The sequence below is a fragment of the Homo sapiens genome, chromosome 7, assembly GCF_000001405.40.
Source record: "Homo sapiens chromosome 7, GRCh38.p14 Primary Assembly".
Lineage (NCBI taxonomy): Eukaryota > Metazoa > Chordata > Mammalia > Primates > Hominidae > Homo > Homo sapiens.
In genome coordinates, this window is record NC_000007.14 from 72,622,040 (window position 1) to 72,636,745 (window position 14,706).

The following is a 14,706-nucleotide window of genomic DNA, read 5'->3' on the forward strand; positions in this document are numbered from 1 at the left end:
CCTATTCTCAAGGTGTAATGCTAGGCAGAGAACACACAGACAGTATTTCATTTACAAATGGATTGTGTTACAAAAGTTTTCAGCAAGACAGATGGTTGTAACATGAAACCTTTTCACAAGCAAGCAAGCAAATAATGACAAGGAAGATTCTCAGGCTAGCAAATAAAGGCCTCTTTAAGCCTAATGAAGCTAAGATACATGCTAATTTACAAGGAATATAGCAGAAAAATATTTTACAAGACTGGTAAGGAAAGAAAAGAGGAAACCGATATGATAAAGCAGTAGCCTCTATTGATTTCGTTTAAATAAATGTGCTTAATGGAAAGTGATCTAAAAACTTACTGAATCTGGGCATACATTACCCCATTGAATTCTCAAAACAAACTTATTAAAGAGATATTCTTATGCTAATTTTAATATTGACAGAATTTAGGCTCAAGGAGGATGAATAACCTGTCCTAGGCTACATTGGCACATTTTACGTAGGTATCAAAACTGGGCACTGCCTCTCACCCCACATGAGACTCTAGTAAGTGCAGACTATGGGAGACCCCAGATCTGACACGCACACACGGACACACACAAACACAAACACACACACATACAGACACATACCACACACACATGCACATACACATAACACATACACATGCACACAACACACACATGCACACACACAACACACATACATGCACACATACAACACACACAAGTGCACACACCACACACATGCACGCACACAAAACACACATGCATAACACACACAACACACATGCACACACACTACACAAACACACCACACAAACACACCACGCACTCACACATGTCAGGGAGAAAAGATGCCGAGGGCATGCCTGGCCATGACGCCACTCCCGCATTTACAGTCGCCCTTCCTGACCCAAGGGTTGTTCATGCTACCACTTCTATGACCAAAGTTAAGATGATTTTTCCTTTGACTCACAAAAGAGAAACTGCACACAGGGTAGATAGAAAAAGGAAGGAAGAGTTTCCTAAATCCAATTAGGTTAGTGCTACAAGCAAAATGAGAAAAAGAAGTTGAATTGGGTGATACATACATGTTAGAAACCTTCCTCAAACTGGATTTAGAAATTTGTCAACAATTCAGTACAGTACTCTGAATGCACACACATACACATACGTGTGTGTTTCCATTTTAAAATCAAAGAACTTAATAACAAAAAGATAAGCAACTCAATTGAAATACAAAGGGTATGAACAGCATTGTGTCTGCATCTGCAGGGAGCTCCAGGCATATCTGTGAATCTAGGGCCAATTTGTATTATTGATTTCACATCTTGGGGGCATTTATATGACCTTGAGGTACCATAATACTAAATTTGAATTCCAAGGCCATTTGAGGGTAAGGCCCTGGAGAGACTTTTCCTTTTTACCAAGCGCACGGGTACAGAACAAGCCTTCCAAGTGTTACTGTGTCCGTGGGTAAGTTTTTCCCTAATCCATCCTTTCATTGAAGGTGAAAGGGCCTAGTCTTCTGTCCTTTAAACCCTAGTCCTGTCTACTAGGACCATGGAGTACTTCCAGAATGGTCTCTTTTCTTCCAGCTCCAAGAGTGTCTCCCTTACAGCCCTGACAGATATGCACCTTCCCAAACGTATGGTTTTCATAACAGATTCACTTCTAAGTGTTAATCCTTAGAGAGGTTTGAGGTTATAGCCTGCCATATTGCTAGTTCTTATCAAATGTTTTATGGAGAGGTCTTATTATTATTATTGCTGTTGTTATTTATTAATTTTTTTTTGAGATAGAGTCTTGCTCTTTTGACCAGGCTGGAGTACAGTGGCACGATCTCAGCTCACTGCAGCCTCTGCCTCCTGGATTCAAGTGATTCTCATGCCTCAGCCTCCTGAGTAGCTGGGATTATAGGCACCTGCCACCACACCCAGCTAATTTTTGTATTTTTAGTAGAGACAGGGTTTCACCATGTGGCCAGGCTGGTCTCGAACTCCTGACCTCAAGTGATCTGCCTGACTCGGCCTCCCAAAGTGCTGGGATTACAGGCATGAGCCACCAGGCCCAGCCAATGATTTTAAAAACTCCTCTATTTGAGAAATTTTTAACTTTAATTAATAAGACAACAATGACAAAAAGATGTATTTTCAGACATTCTGTAGTTTAATCCTATTGAACAGGAAAAGCATGCCTTCTCCATTTACTGATTTCATTTGTCTTTTGAATTACAAACCAATGCATGCTCGTTGTAATAATCCACACACTACATAATTACAAAAAGTAAAATTAATAAACATTTCCCTCCCCTTCTCCCAAATAGGTCACTGTAAACAATCTGACAGATATCCTTCCATACTTTTCTTACATAAATACATCTGAACATACAACATTGAAAATGTAATCAAGGATGTAAAATGCAAACTAAAATTTAAAAAATGGAACTGCATAATAAATATTATTCTAGAATTTGTTTTGCTTCTTAGTAGCAGTATGCTCTATTCTGTAAATATCCCTTTTGCGACTACAGCATCCAAGGAAGAATCTCATTAACTTGCTGGACAAATGACAGGTAAGTTCACAAAGCATGAGACTGACCTCCAGTGACCAGGCATTTGACATTCATTGCAGGACATTTCTCCCTGGGGTCTTTTATCAAAGATATGACATGACTGAATGTGCCTCCCTCTGAAGTAACATGAACTGTTATTTATTACATTATATTTTATCATCAAAATATTTATTTTAAGCCAGGCGTGGTGGCTCACGCCTGTAATCCCAACACTTTGGGAGGCCAAGGCGGGTGGATCACCTGAGCTCAGGAGTTCAAGACCAGCCTGGGCAACATGGCAAGACCCTGTCTCTACAAAAAAGTACAAAAATTGGCCAAGCGTGGTGGTGTACACCTGTAATCCCAGCTATTTGGGTGGCGGAGGCATGAGAATTGCTTGAACCCAGGAGGCGGAGGTTGCAGTGAACCGAGATTGTGCCAGTGCGCTCCAGCCTGGGAGACAGAGTAAGAACCTGTCTCAAAAAAAAAAAAAAAAATTTAATTGTGGTTATACATTTCTCCAAGAGTTTTCAATTATAAAATCTCTCAGAGTAGGTCATTTTACTTTTATAGATTTTTGCCTATTTTCAATAAAACATTCATTTCCCAAATAGCACATTCACATAAAATTTTTCATCTCCAGAGCTTTAACAAGGCCTATCACATGGAGAGAGCTCAAAAATATTGTTGAATGCAAGGACAAAATAGTAAAATGGAAATTTGGAAAGAAAACTCTGTTGTTAATAGCATCTTAGCTAGGCCAGGTGCAGTGGCTCACGTCTGTAATCCCAGCACTTTGGGAGGCTAACGTAGAAGGACTGCTTGAGGCCAGGAGTTCAAGACCAGCCTGGGCAACATAGTGAGACCCCATTTCTATAAATACAAAAATGTTTTAAATTAGCCAGGTGTGGTGGTGTGCGTCTGTCATCAAGCTACTTGGGAGGCTGAGGTGGGAGGATCACTTGAGCCCAGGAGCGGGAGGCTGAGGTGGGAGGATCACTTGAGCCCAGGAGCTGGAGGCTGCTGTGAGCCATGATTGCACCACTGCACTCCAGTCTGGGCAACCGAGCAAGACTGTCTCAGAAAAACAAAACAAAACAAAACAAAACATCTCAGCTATAGACAGAAGGCTTTATCTATTTCCTAGTGATGTTCATAGTTTGGTGAACCAAATAATACCCATCAGAGAATTATACTGTTTACCAAGTAGCTGTCTTTCTTTAAAAAATGTTGACTGATTTTTTTCAGATTTAAAATACCTGTTCTTTATAGAAAAACATGACTGCGAAAGTAAGAAAGGAGGGGGGAGAGGTGGGGCGGGGGGGGGGGAAGAAAGGAAGGAAATGAAAAAAGGGGAGATCCAGCCAAGCTGCTTTATTATAATAGAGGTTTTACTGCAACATAATTTGAGGCAGCATTCTTTAATAGCTAAATCATAAATTAAAACACCACTAATCTCTGATGTTGGCAAGGTTTGCTTAAGCTGATACATATATTTTCAGCTGCAGTTTGTATCTTTGCATCATTAGAGCTCCTGCCAAGAGTAGCCTTTTGAAATTAAGTGCAATTTCAAGAGTGTCTTCAGCCTGACCAGAGATAAAATGTTACGTACTCAGACAGCAGTATTTCATCTGTTCCCACCTCCCCACCCCTCTAGAGTAACACCAAAAGCTAAACTCACCAAAAGACAGCTGTAAAACCTCTGATATGACACAGACAGGGTTCAGTTTCAAAGCCATAAACGGAAATGAGCAGAGTTGGCTTTCCCAGACAGGGTACATTTTCTCATCACTTCTCTTGTCTTGTGGACTCTTAGTTGCCCAAAAAAGCCATTACTTCCAATCATTATTTCTAGCCCTATCTTATCCCTGAAACTTCGAGCTTATAAAACCTATGATCTATTTAAACTTCTACTTGGATATTTAAAAGATATCTCAAATTTAATGTTGCCAACAGGGAGCTCAACATTTCTCCCCAAATATGTCCCCTTTTCCCTCCTGGTTTCCTGTATCTCAGCAAACAGTTTCGCCATCCACGCAATGGCTTAAGCCAAAAACCCAGGTGCTATTCTTGATTCTTTTTTCGTTCAGCCCGTACCTATAACCTAGCAAAACGTTTTATTGGTTCTACTTCCAAAAGGAATCCTAAATGCACCCACTGCTCTCCAGCCCTAGTCCCACTGACCTTCCCCAAACCATCTCTTGCTTGGACTAACCACTCACTTTGTGACTGTTGTGCCTACTCTACTGCCCTCTATAACCAAGCCATGCTGCAGCAGTGGGGTGATCTTTTAAAATCACAAATCAGACTGCATCTCTCCCCAGCTTCACGCCCTTTCCTAGTGCACCTATATTTACAAAGCTTACCATCAAACTTAGTTTAAAATCCAATCCCCTTATCTTTGCTTGAAAGGCCTCATAAAAGCTGCCCCAGCCCACTGCTCTGATTCATCCTACGCCACTGCCAACCTCAGCCACTCCACTAGGATAGCACAGGACCTCCATGCACTAGCACCACCTGCCTGGAATGCCCTTACCCCAGGTTTCTGCTTACCATTTACGTATCAGTTTTTAAAATGTCATCTCAGGCCCGGCGCGGTAGTTCTAACCCTGTAATCTCAGCACTTTGGGAGGCTGAGGTGGGTGGATCACTCAAGGTCAGGAGTTCGAGAGCAGCCTGGCCAACATGGTGAAACCCCGTCTCTACTAAAAATAGAAAAATTAGCCAGGTGCGGTAGTGGGCAGCTGTAGCACCAGCTACTTGGGAGGCTGAGGGAGGAGAATCGCTTGAACCCGGGAGGCGGAGGTTTCAGTGAGCCGAGATCACGCCACTGTACTCCAGCCTGGGTGACAGAGTGAGACTTCATCTCAAAAAACAGTAACATAACATAACATAACATAACATAACATAACATAACATAACATAACATAACATAAATAAAATAAAATAAAATAAAATGTCATCTCAGAAAAGCTTCCCTAAAATAGTCAACCACCATATCTAGTAAAATAATATATGCATTTACCCTTTGACCCAGCAATACACTCATCGGAATCTATCCCAAAGAAACATTTGCAAAAATGTGAGAGGCAAGCAGACATTATGTGACTCCTGATTGGAGTATACAGGACCACCAGTGAAATATTCCTGAAATACAAACAAACCCACACACACATGCACCCCTGAATTTAATCAATCTTCTCTTGATCTAACTATAGGCACCAATCCACAGGACGCACAGAAACATGCAATCAACAAAATCTAAAATATAAACATAGGGCATCAGCCAAGATGCATGATCCATTTTCTACAGCAAAGTGATTTCTAAGAGGAAAAACAAAACACATGGAAGACGAAATTAAAATTTTTAGTTGAAAATTTTTAGGTATGAGCCCAGTACTCTGAATAACTGTTTCGAAAGAATACACATCAGCCGGGCACAGTGGCTCACACCTATAATCCCAGCACTCTGAGAGGCCGAGGCAGGAGGGTCGCTTGAGGCCAGGAGTTTGAGACCAGCCTGGGCAAAACAGTGAGACCTTCTCTCTACAAAAAATAGCCAGGCATAGTGGCGTGCACCTCTAGTCCCAGCTACTCAGGAGGCTGAGGCAGGAGGACTGCTGGAGCCCAAGAGTTGGAGGCTGCAGTAAGCTACGATCACAGCACTGCACTCCAACCTGGGTGACAAAGCGAGTCCTTGTCTCAAAATAAAATAAAATAAAATATGAAATAAAGTAAATAAAATAAGAGTAGAAATCTTTTAGGAATATATGCTGAAATAATTCTGGGTAAATGATATAATTTTGGTGGTTTGCTTTAAAATAATCTGGGCTAAGAGCAGAGAAAATGGGTAAAGGTATAATTGAAACAACTCTGGGTCATGAGTTGATCATTTTTGAAGGTGAGTGATGGGTGGATGGGAGTTCATTAGACCAATCTCTCTATTTCCGTCTATGTCTGAAATAAAGGTTTATGTAAAAGTCAACCAATTACTCACCACCACACTATTTTATTTCTCAGCATATTCATGTCACTACATGGTTTTTAATGACTCACTTTGTGTGGACTGTCCATCCTCCCACTAAAATACTAGCTTTATAAGAGCAAGAGCTTGGTCTTCTTGACTGCTATTATCCCCAAGGCCTAGAACAATTCCAGGTTCTTGATGAATATCGATCACGAAATGAATACATCAATAAAATTCCTGGGACCTCTAGAGTTTTACAAGGTTTTAACTCCACGATGGCCAACGAAGCACCACGATTCTTTGTCACTCCACCACGGCCACCAGAGTCAGCAGGGGCTTACCTTCACTTCGATGAAGTCAGGATTCCCCAGGGACACGAGCTGCGCGTAGGCCTGGAGCTCGTCCACGTTCCATGCTTTCACGAGCATCAGTCTGTAGACAGTTCGTTGTTGCTAAAACAAAGGAAAAGCCAACTTCGTTGTTATCTTGGTGGATGTCACCTCTTAACCTAGAGGGTTTCTCAAGCTTTTTCAACCCAGAGAACCCAGGGCAGGCAAAACTCATCATGAACTTTTGTAAACTGAAGCTATATTTTGAGGAAAGATGAAACAAAAATAAACACTATGATTCTAACATGCCTTATGGAAGGCACATGAGATACTGACATATTTCTTTTCTCTGCCCCACAACATTTAACATTATGCCAGGCACCCAGAGGTTTCTTGACACAGACACACTGAATTACATTTAGTAAGGAATGATAAACTGACCAAACAGTGTTAGGCCATAAAAAATTAATTGAAATGCCCTCTAGGCTTTCAGGTAATAATCACCCAAGTTGTTAGTGACAAGAATTGTTAGCAAGTCCTGTCTTCTTTCCTACTCCCTCATTATTTAATGATCTCTTGGCATTTCTTGCTGGCAGAAAAGGTACATGGATGGATTATCAATGTTGCCATTTGTGTGCCACATAACCACAAGAGGGACTGGCTTTCTTTCTTTTCTTCTTTATTTTTTTAGAGACAGAGTCTCGCTCTGTTGTCCAGGCTGGAGTGCAGTGGTGCAATCATAACTCACCACAGCCTCTATCTCCTGGACTCAAGTGATCCTCCTGCCTCAGCTTCCCAAGTAGCTGGGACTACAGGCACATATCATCATGCCCGGCTAAGTTTAAAAATTTTTTTAGAGATGGGGTCCTTGCTGTGTTATTCAGGCTGGTCTCGAACTCTCGGCCTTAAGTGACCCTCATGCCTGAGGCTTCCGAAGGGCTGGGATTATAGGCGCACACCGAGCCAAGCTAGATTTCTGAAAATGTAATTAGACAATAGGCATTAAAGCCTTTAAAAAGCTTACACTCTGACTTTGTAGCTCCCTTTTAGAACCCAAAACAAATGATTAAACATTCAAAAACACTAAAAAATCTCAGGACAACATTATTAATAATGGCTTAAGGCCAGGTGTGGTGGCTCATGCCTGTAATCCCAGCACTTTGGGAGGCCGAGGCAGGGGGATCACCTGAGGTAAGGAGTTTGAGACCAGCCTGGCCAACATGGTGAAACCCCACCTCTACTAAAAATACAAAAATGAGCCAGGCGTGGCGGCGTGCACCTGTAATCCCAGCTACTTGGGAGGCTGAGGCAGGAGACTCGTTTGAACCTGGGAGGTGAAGGTTGCAGTGAGCTGAGATCATGCCACTGCACTGAGACAGAGCAAGACTGTCTCAAAATAAATAAATAAATAAAAATAATAAGAAGAATGGCTTAAAATCTAAAGTGAGACCCACCCCTTGAGTAGGTGCAGGACCTGTGACTTGCCTATAACCAACAGACTATGGCAAAGGTGATGGGATGTATGTGGTTCTAGGTACATGATTACATGCATCTGTAGCAAATGCCCAGGTAACACTCAGGCTGCCAACCCTCAAACCACACCTTAAGTAGCAATGCTCAAAATACTCAAGAAAAAAAAAAACAGTAAAGTGAAAGGGATGCACAAAATGATACCAATCTTATTACTTTAGTCTATGTTTGAAGACTTCCAACATTAATAAAAAAGAAGAAACACTTGAAATCTTCATTGAAGGAAACTAAGAGGTCGTTAATAAGGAATATTAGGCAGCCACACCAGAAATTAATGTTTTCCAAGCATATTTACTCATGTGTACTCAAAAGTTCCTTCTAAAATGCAGTATATCATGCAAGGAAAGACAGAAATCTTCCAGATTCCCTTTATATACTTATAATTCAGAAATCTTCCAGATTCCCTTTACATACTTATAATCCTTCCAATGCCAAAAGCTAACAAAAATAGTAGAAAACTGCAGACCTATCTCACTCATACTTATATATGTAAAAATCTTATAGAAATTTTAGCAAGTAAAATTCAGCATTTTGTTAAAAATCCCGGGATTGCAAAAACAATTCAATATTAGGCTATACAGTAATATAATTCATTATACTAGTAGTTCAACACAGAAAAACCACATGATCATCTTCATAGATACCCAAAGGTATCTGATATAGTTTAAAAGCCATCCCTGCTTTTAAAACAAAACAGAATGAGCAAATCAAACGCCATTTGGTAAATTCAGTTAATTAAACACATCCTTAACATTAAAAAAAAAAAAATCCACAACATTCTCCAGTCAATAGTCAACACTATTCTTACTGGCTAAAAAAATAGAGGGGCCGGACGTGGTGGCTCACGCCTGTAATCCCAGCACTTTGGGAGGCCGAAGTGGGTCGCTCACTTGAGGTCAGGAGTTCGAGGCCAGCCTGGTCAACGTGGTGAAACCCCGTCTCCACTAAAAAATACAAAAATTAGCCAGGCATGGTGGCAGGCACCTGTAATCCAAGCTACTTGGGAAGCTGAGGCAAGAGAATTGCTTCAACCTGGGAAGCAGAGGTTGCAATGAGCCAAGATTGCACCACTGCACTCCAGCCTGGGCAACAGAGTGAGACTCTGTCTCAAATAAATAAATAAATAAATAAATGCATTTCTATTTAGTTGGACTAACAGAAGAATTTCTACTCTTTCTTAAAAAACACTTTTCTACAAGTTATAATCAAAGCAACAAGGCCAGGATAAGAATTACTGGAGAATATATGAAAAATAATTAATTGTAAATAATATGACTGGTTTCTTGGAAACCTAAGAGAATCAACTAAAAATGAGATTAGGCCAGTTACCAAAAAATATATATATATATAAACAAACAGCTTTCCAAGGATACAGTAGTGAGTTAAATGTGCACACAGGGGCCAGAATGAATCCCAACCCATGTACTAGGTATCATTACCTCTCTGTTCTTAGTTTCTACCTGAATGTAGCATTTAGCATGTGGAATCTAGAACCAAGCCTGGCAGCAGCGTATCATACCAAGTATTAGCTATTATATGCCAGCAATCAGCAATTACAAAATTCAAGAGAAAGCATATTCTACTTATAATTATGAAATGCCTAGTGTTTCAGCTGGGTGCACTGGCTCACGCCTGTAATCTCAGCACATTGGAAGGCCAAGATGGGAGGATTACTTGAGGCCAAGAATTCGAGACCAGCCTGGGCAACATAAAGAGACCCCATCACTACAAAAAATACAATAGCCGGGCATGGCTGAAGCAGGAGGATTGCTTGAACTTGGGAGGTGGAGGCTGCAGTGAGCCATGATCGTACCAACGCACTCCAGCCTGGGTGACAGAGCAAGACCCTGTCTCCAAAAAATATATATATATATATACGTGTATATATATATATACGTGTATATATATTATATATATTATATATATATACACGTATATATATTATATATATTATATATATACGCATATATATTATATATATACGTATATATATATAATATATATATACATATATATATAAAATATATATATACGTATATATATAAAATATATATATACATATATATATAAAATATATATATACACATATATACATATATATTATATATATTCCTAATGATTAAATTATGAAATAGCATGCAGGACAGTGAGTAAAATAAACTTTTCTAAGAGACCTAAACAAAAACCAATCTACATGGAGAGCCATGATGGATTTATAAATATAATGTAATTCCAATGAGAGTTTACAATTCATCTGAACAAATAAACTGGCAACAGTAACCATAAAAATAATAGCAGGAGTTTGCAATTACTCAGCCCTTACTATGTGGCAGCTGTTGTTATAAAGTGCTTTGTAGCTTGGCAAAGATTCCAATGTCTGTCTAATCTTTACAACAAATCTCACAAAATAGATTGGATTATTACCTTCACTTTACAGATATGAAGGTGAGGCTGACAGCTGTTAAGTAAATTGCCTGAAGTTACACAGCTGGAGGGCAGCAAAGCTGGGGTGTGAACCCAAGCAGTAGTGAGGTGGGAGACTGGCAGGACTTGTTTTCTGGTCACAACCCTGCTGACCAAAACAGGTCCAGACAGGATGAAGTGAAGAAACCAGCAGGAACCAGCAGATGGTCACTAAGGTGATCCCAAGATAGCCTTCTTGTGCATTAGCATAAGACACTCCCACCAGGGCCATGACAGTTTACAAATGCCATGCAACAACCCAGAAGTTACTGCCCCTTTCCTAGAAAGTTCTAAATAACACACCCCTTTATTTGCATTGGCCTGCCCCTTAATTTGCATGTAAATATGTGCATAAATACAGTTGCCAGGAGCCCATACAATGCCCATTCTGGGTGCGCTGCCTATGAGTTAGCCCTGCTCTGCAAGGAGCTGTACCCTTCAATAAAAGATTCCCGTCTAACACCACTGGCTTGCCCTTGAATTCTTTACTGGACAAAGCCAAAAACCCTCCCAAGCTAAGCCCCAGTTTTGGGGCTCACCTGTCATGCAACAGTAGGAACCAGAATAGGCTCTCTCTCACTTTGCTAAATCTTCTGAAACTGTGAGATGAAACACAAAGAGAAATGTACACAAAACATGAATGTATAACTCCAGGGATTATCACAAAATGCCCATCACCCAGACACCCTTCTGCTCCTCCCAGTGAATATCCACTCCCTTCACCTGACTAATATCTAATATCCTGACTTTAACATAATAGTCTAGTTTTTGCCTGTGTTTGGAATTTACGTCAGTGGAATCATACATTATTTTGTGTTTGGTGTCTATCACTCAACACTGTGTTTATAAAATTCACCTATGTTGCTCCATGTTTAGGTTTGTTCATTTTCATTATCTAGTATTGGGTTGCATGAATATACAACAAGTTATTCAACCATTCCCTAAACATTTGGATTATGTCCAGGTTTTAGCTATTATAAAACAATGTGGTTATCTCTTTGAACACCAGAGTTTAGTTTTGCCTGTTTAAGGAAATTTTATAAAATGCTACTGGGACATACATTCTTTTGTGTCTGGCTTCTTTCAGTGAATTCGATGTTTGCAAGATTCATTCATGCTGTTGATGTAACTGGAGCTCCAGTGGCCCAGTAGAGTGCATGGTACTTATGTGTCACCATAAATACATCTTTATGGCCACATTGTATGAACACACTACTAGCGAACGATTTTAACCCCCTACTTTGGGTTTCTTAGAAAATGCTGCTGCCATGAGTGCTACTGTACTCATCTCTCTCTCCCTCTCCCCACCTCCTTTTTTTTTTCTGGCTTGAGATAGGGTCTGGCTCCACCACTCAGGCTGGAGTGCAGTGGCATAAGCACGGCCCACTACAGCCTCAACCTCCCAGTCTCAAGGGATCCTCCTGTCTCAGCCTCCTGAGTAGCTGGGACTACAGGCACATGCTGCCACTCCTAGCTTTTTTTTTTTTTCTTTTTTTTTTTCTGTAGAGACAGGCTCTCACTTTGTTGCCCAGGCTGGTCTCGAACTCTTGGGCTCAAGCAATCCTCTTGCCTTGGCCTCCCAAAGTGCTAGGATTACAGGCATGAGCCAACGTGCCCAGCTGTACTTGTCTCTTGATGCACAAGAACACACATTTTCTAGGATCTACCTAAATATGGACATGCTGGGTCATGGGGGATATGTATACATTCGACCTTAGCAGATATTGGCAATCTGATTGCCAAAGACATTTTGCCACACTTTCACCCACGTTGTATCAGAGTTTTGGTTGGTTGTTATCTTCAACAACACTTAGTGTTGCTAGTTTTCACCACTTTTGCATTGTTTTGGTTTTGCATCTGCCTGCAGATGTAAGCAAGCTGAGTTCATATGTTTTCTGGCTATCTGTATCTCTGTTTTTGTGAAGTACTGGTTCAAATGTCTTGAATATGTCTCTGTTGGAATATTTGTCTTTTTTCCAACTGATTTTCAATAAATTATTTGCATTTGCTGGAAAGAAAAGCTCTGTTATAAACGTATTAGAAATAATTTCATCCACTTTATGGCTTCCTTTTTTTCACAATGTCTTCTGATCAATAAGAATTCCTAACTTTCATACATTTCCACTTTCTTTCCTTATTAGCGTTTCTTTCATATTAGTGTTTCTTATGTCTCTTTAAAGGATCATTCCATGCTATCAAGAGCATGAAGATAAGCTCTTACATTTTTTTCTAAAGTTTTATCATATTGCCACTCACATTTGTGTCAAAAATCCACCAAAACTGACTTTTGCGTGTGGTGTTGAGAAGTTAAACTTATTTAACATATGGATAGTCCACTGTAATAAATATGATAGAATCATTGTCTATGCATGTGAGGGTCTCCTTCTGGTTTTTTCTATTCTGTTCCACTGATCTAATTGTTTCTCATTGTCTCAATATCACACTTTTAATTACTGTTGCTTTACACTAAGACTTGATATCCAATAGAGACGGTTCTCAACCAGGAGCGATTCTGCACCGCAGGGGACAATTAGCAACATCTTGAGAAAATTTTTTGGTTTTCACAAATGGGGGCTGCTACTGACATCTAGTGGGTAAAGGCCAGGGCTGCTGCTGAATATCCTACAATGCACGGGACAGTCTCCCCAACCCTTTTCCTGAAAAGAACTATCCAGTCTAAAATGTCGATGGTGCCAACGTTGAAAAATCCTACAGTGGAGCAAGTTCTCTTATGTCGTCCTTCTGAAAGAGTATGGTGGCCATTCTTGGCCCTTTGCATATCCATGTACATTTTAGAATCAGCTTACTAATTTCCATAAACGTATACAACCCTTTATGATTCTGCCTGATATGGCATTGAATCTATAAGCCAGTGTTGCTCAATAGAAATATAAGTTCACAGGTGAAATTTTTAAAAATGTATTTTAACTTAACATATCCTCAAAATTATCAACTCAAGAAGAAATCAATATTTAAATATTGGGATACCTGACATTCTTTTTACCAGACTAAGTCTTTGAATTCCATCTCTTCTTGGCCTTTTGGCTAAGATCAAGTGTAGTCTTTGAATTCCAATGCGCAGCACGGCTCAATTCAGGGTAGCCATGTTTCAAGTACTCAATGGTCACATGTAGCTAGTGGCTACCATAATTAAATATAATCAGTGTATGGAGAAATGATACTTTTACAACCCTGAATCTGCCAAAATAATTACCTTTATTTAGATCCTTTAAAATTTCTCTCAATGATATTTTATAGTTTTCAATATAAAGGTCAAAAACATATTTCCATAGATTTATTCCTAGGTAATATACTTTTGATGCTTTGTTATGGTACTATCTTTTCTATTTTTCCTCTTTTAACTAATATTTAACTGATATTTTAATAGCTGGTATACAGAAATATAACTGATTTTTGTAAGCTGACTGTGTATCTATATAGCAGTCTTGTAAAATACATTTATTAAAGCGAATAATTACAAATTTTGGAAAGGATTGTTTATGTACACATTTATTTACTAAAAATGACATCTTCCTTTCCAATCATAACTTTTTCCCCTTTTTCTTGTCTTTTAGCACCAGCCAGAACTTTGATTCCATGTTAAATGGAAGTGGTGACAAATATAGTGGGTATGCTTGTCTTATTCTGCACAGTAAGATTTTAAACATTTACTCAAGAAGTATGACTTTTATGGGTAAATATCTTTATCAGATTAGGAAGTTTCCTTCTAATCCTAATTGGCTACAAGATTTTAATCATAAATAAATATTGATTTCTGTCAAATTCTTTTTATGCATCTATTAACCTTATCCTACCAGCTTTCTTTTTTATTATGACATCATAAATAGGTTGATTTTTACACGTTAAACAAAACTCGC

General features: G+C 39.5%; 1 protein-coding gene across 4 annotated transcripts in view, besides 1 other annotated feature; it reads right to left on the reverse strand.

Annotated features, from left to right (window-relative positions):
- TYW1B (tRNA-yW synthesizing protein 1 homolog B) overlaps positions 1–14,706 on the reverse strand; it is a 253,688-nt gene that overhangs the window by 47,527 nt on the left and 191,455 nt on the right. For 3 of the 4 annotated variants that reach the window (NM_001412179.1, NM_001145440.3, NM_001412182.1), the window contains one exon: positions 6,848–6,958. The exons of the other annotated variant lie outside the window; for it this stretch is intronic. In NM_001412179.1, coding sequence (NP_001399108.1) covers positions 6,848–6,958 — 111 coding nt within the window. The remainder of the gene's footprint in view (positions 1–6,847; positions 6,959–14,706) is intronic. 4 annotated transcript variants of the gene reach the window in all.
- Positions 755–1,254: an enhancer, noted in NCBI's record as "H3K27ac hESC enhancer chr7:72087779-72088278 (GRCh37/hg19 assembly coordinates)". NCBI's record gives its function as "activates a minimal SCP1, AML or CMV promoter by ChIP-STARR-seq in primed H9 embryonic stem cells {active_cell/tissue: H9 hESC(primed)}" and the evidence as "EXISTENCE:reporter gene assay evidence [ECO:0000049][PMID:30033119]".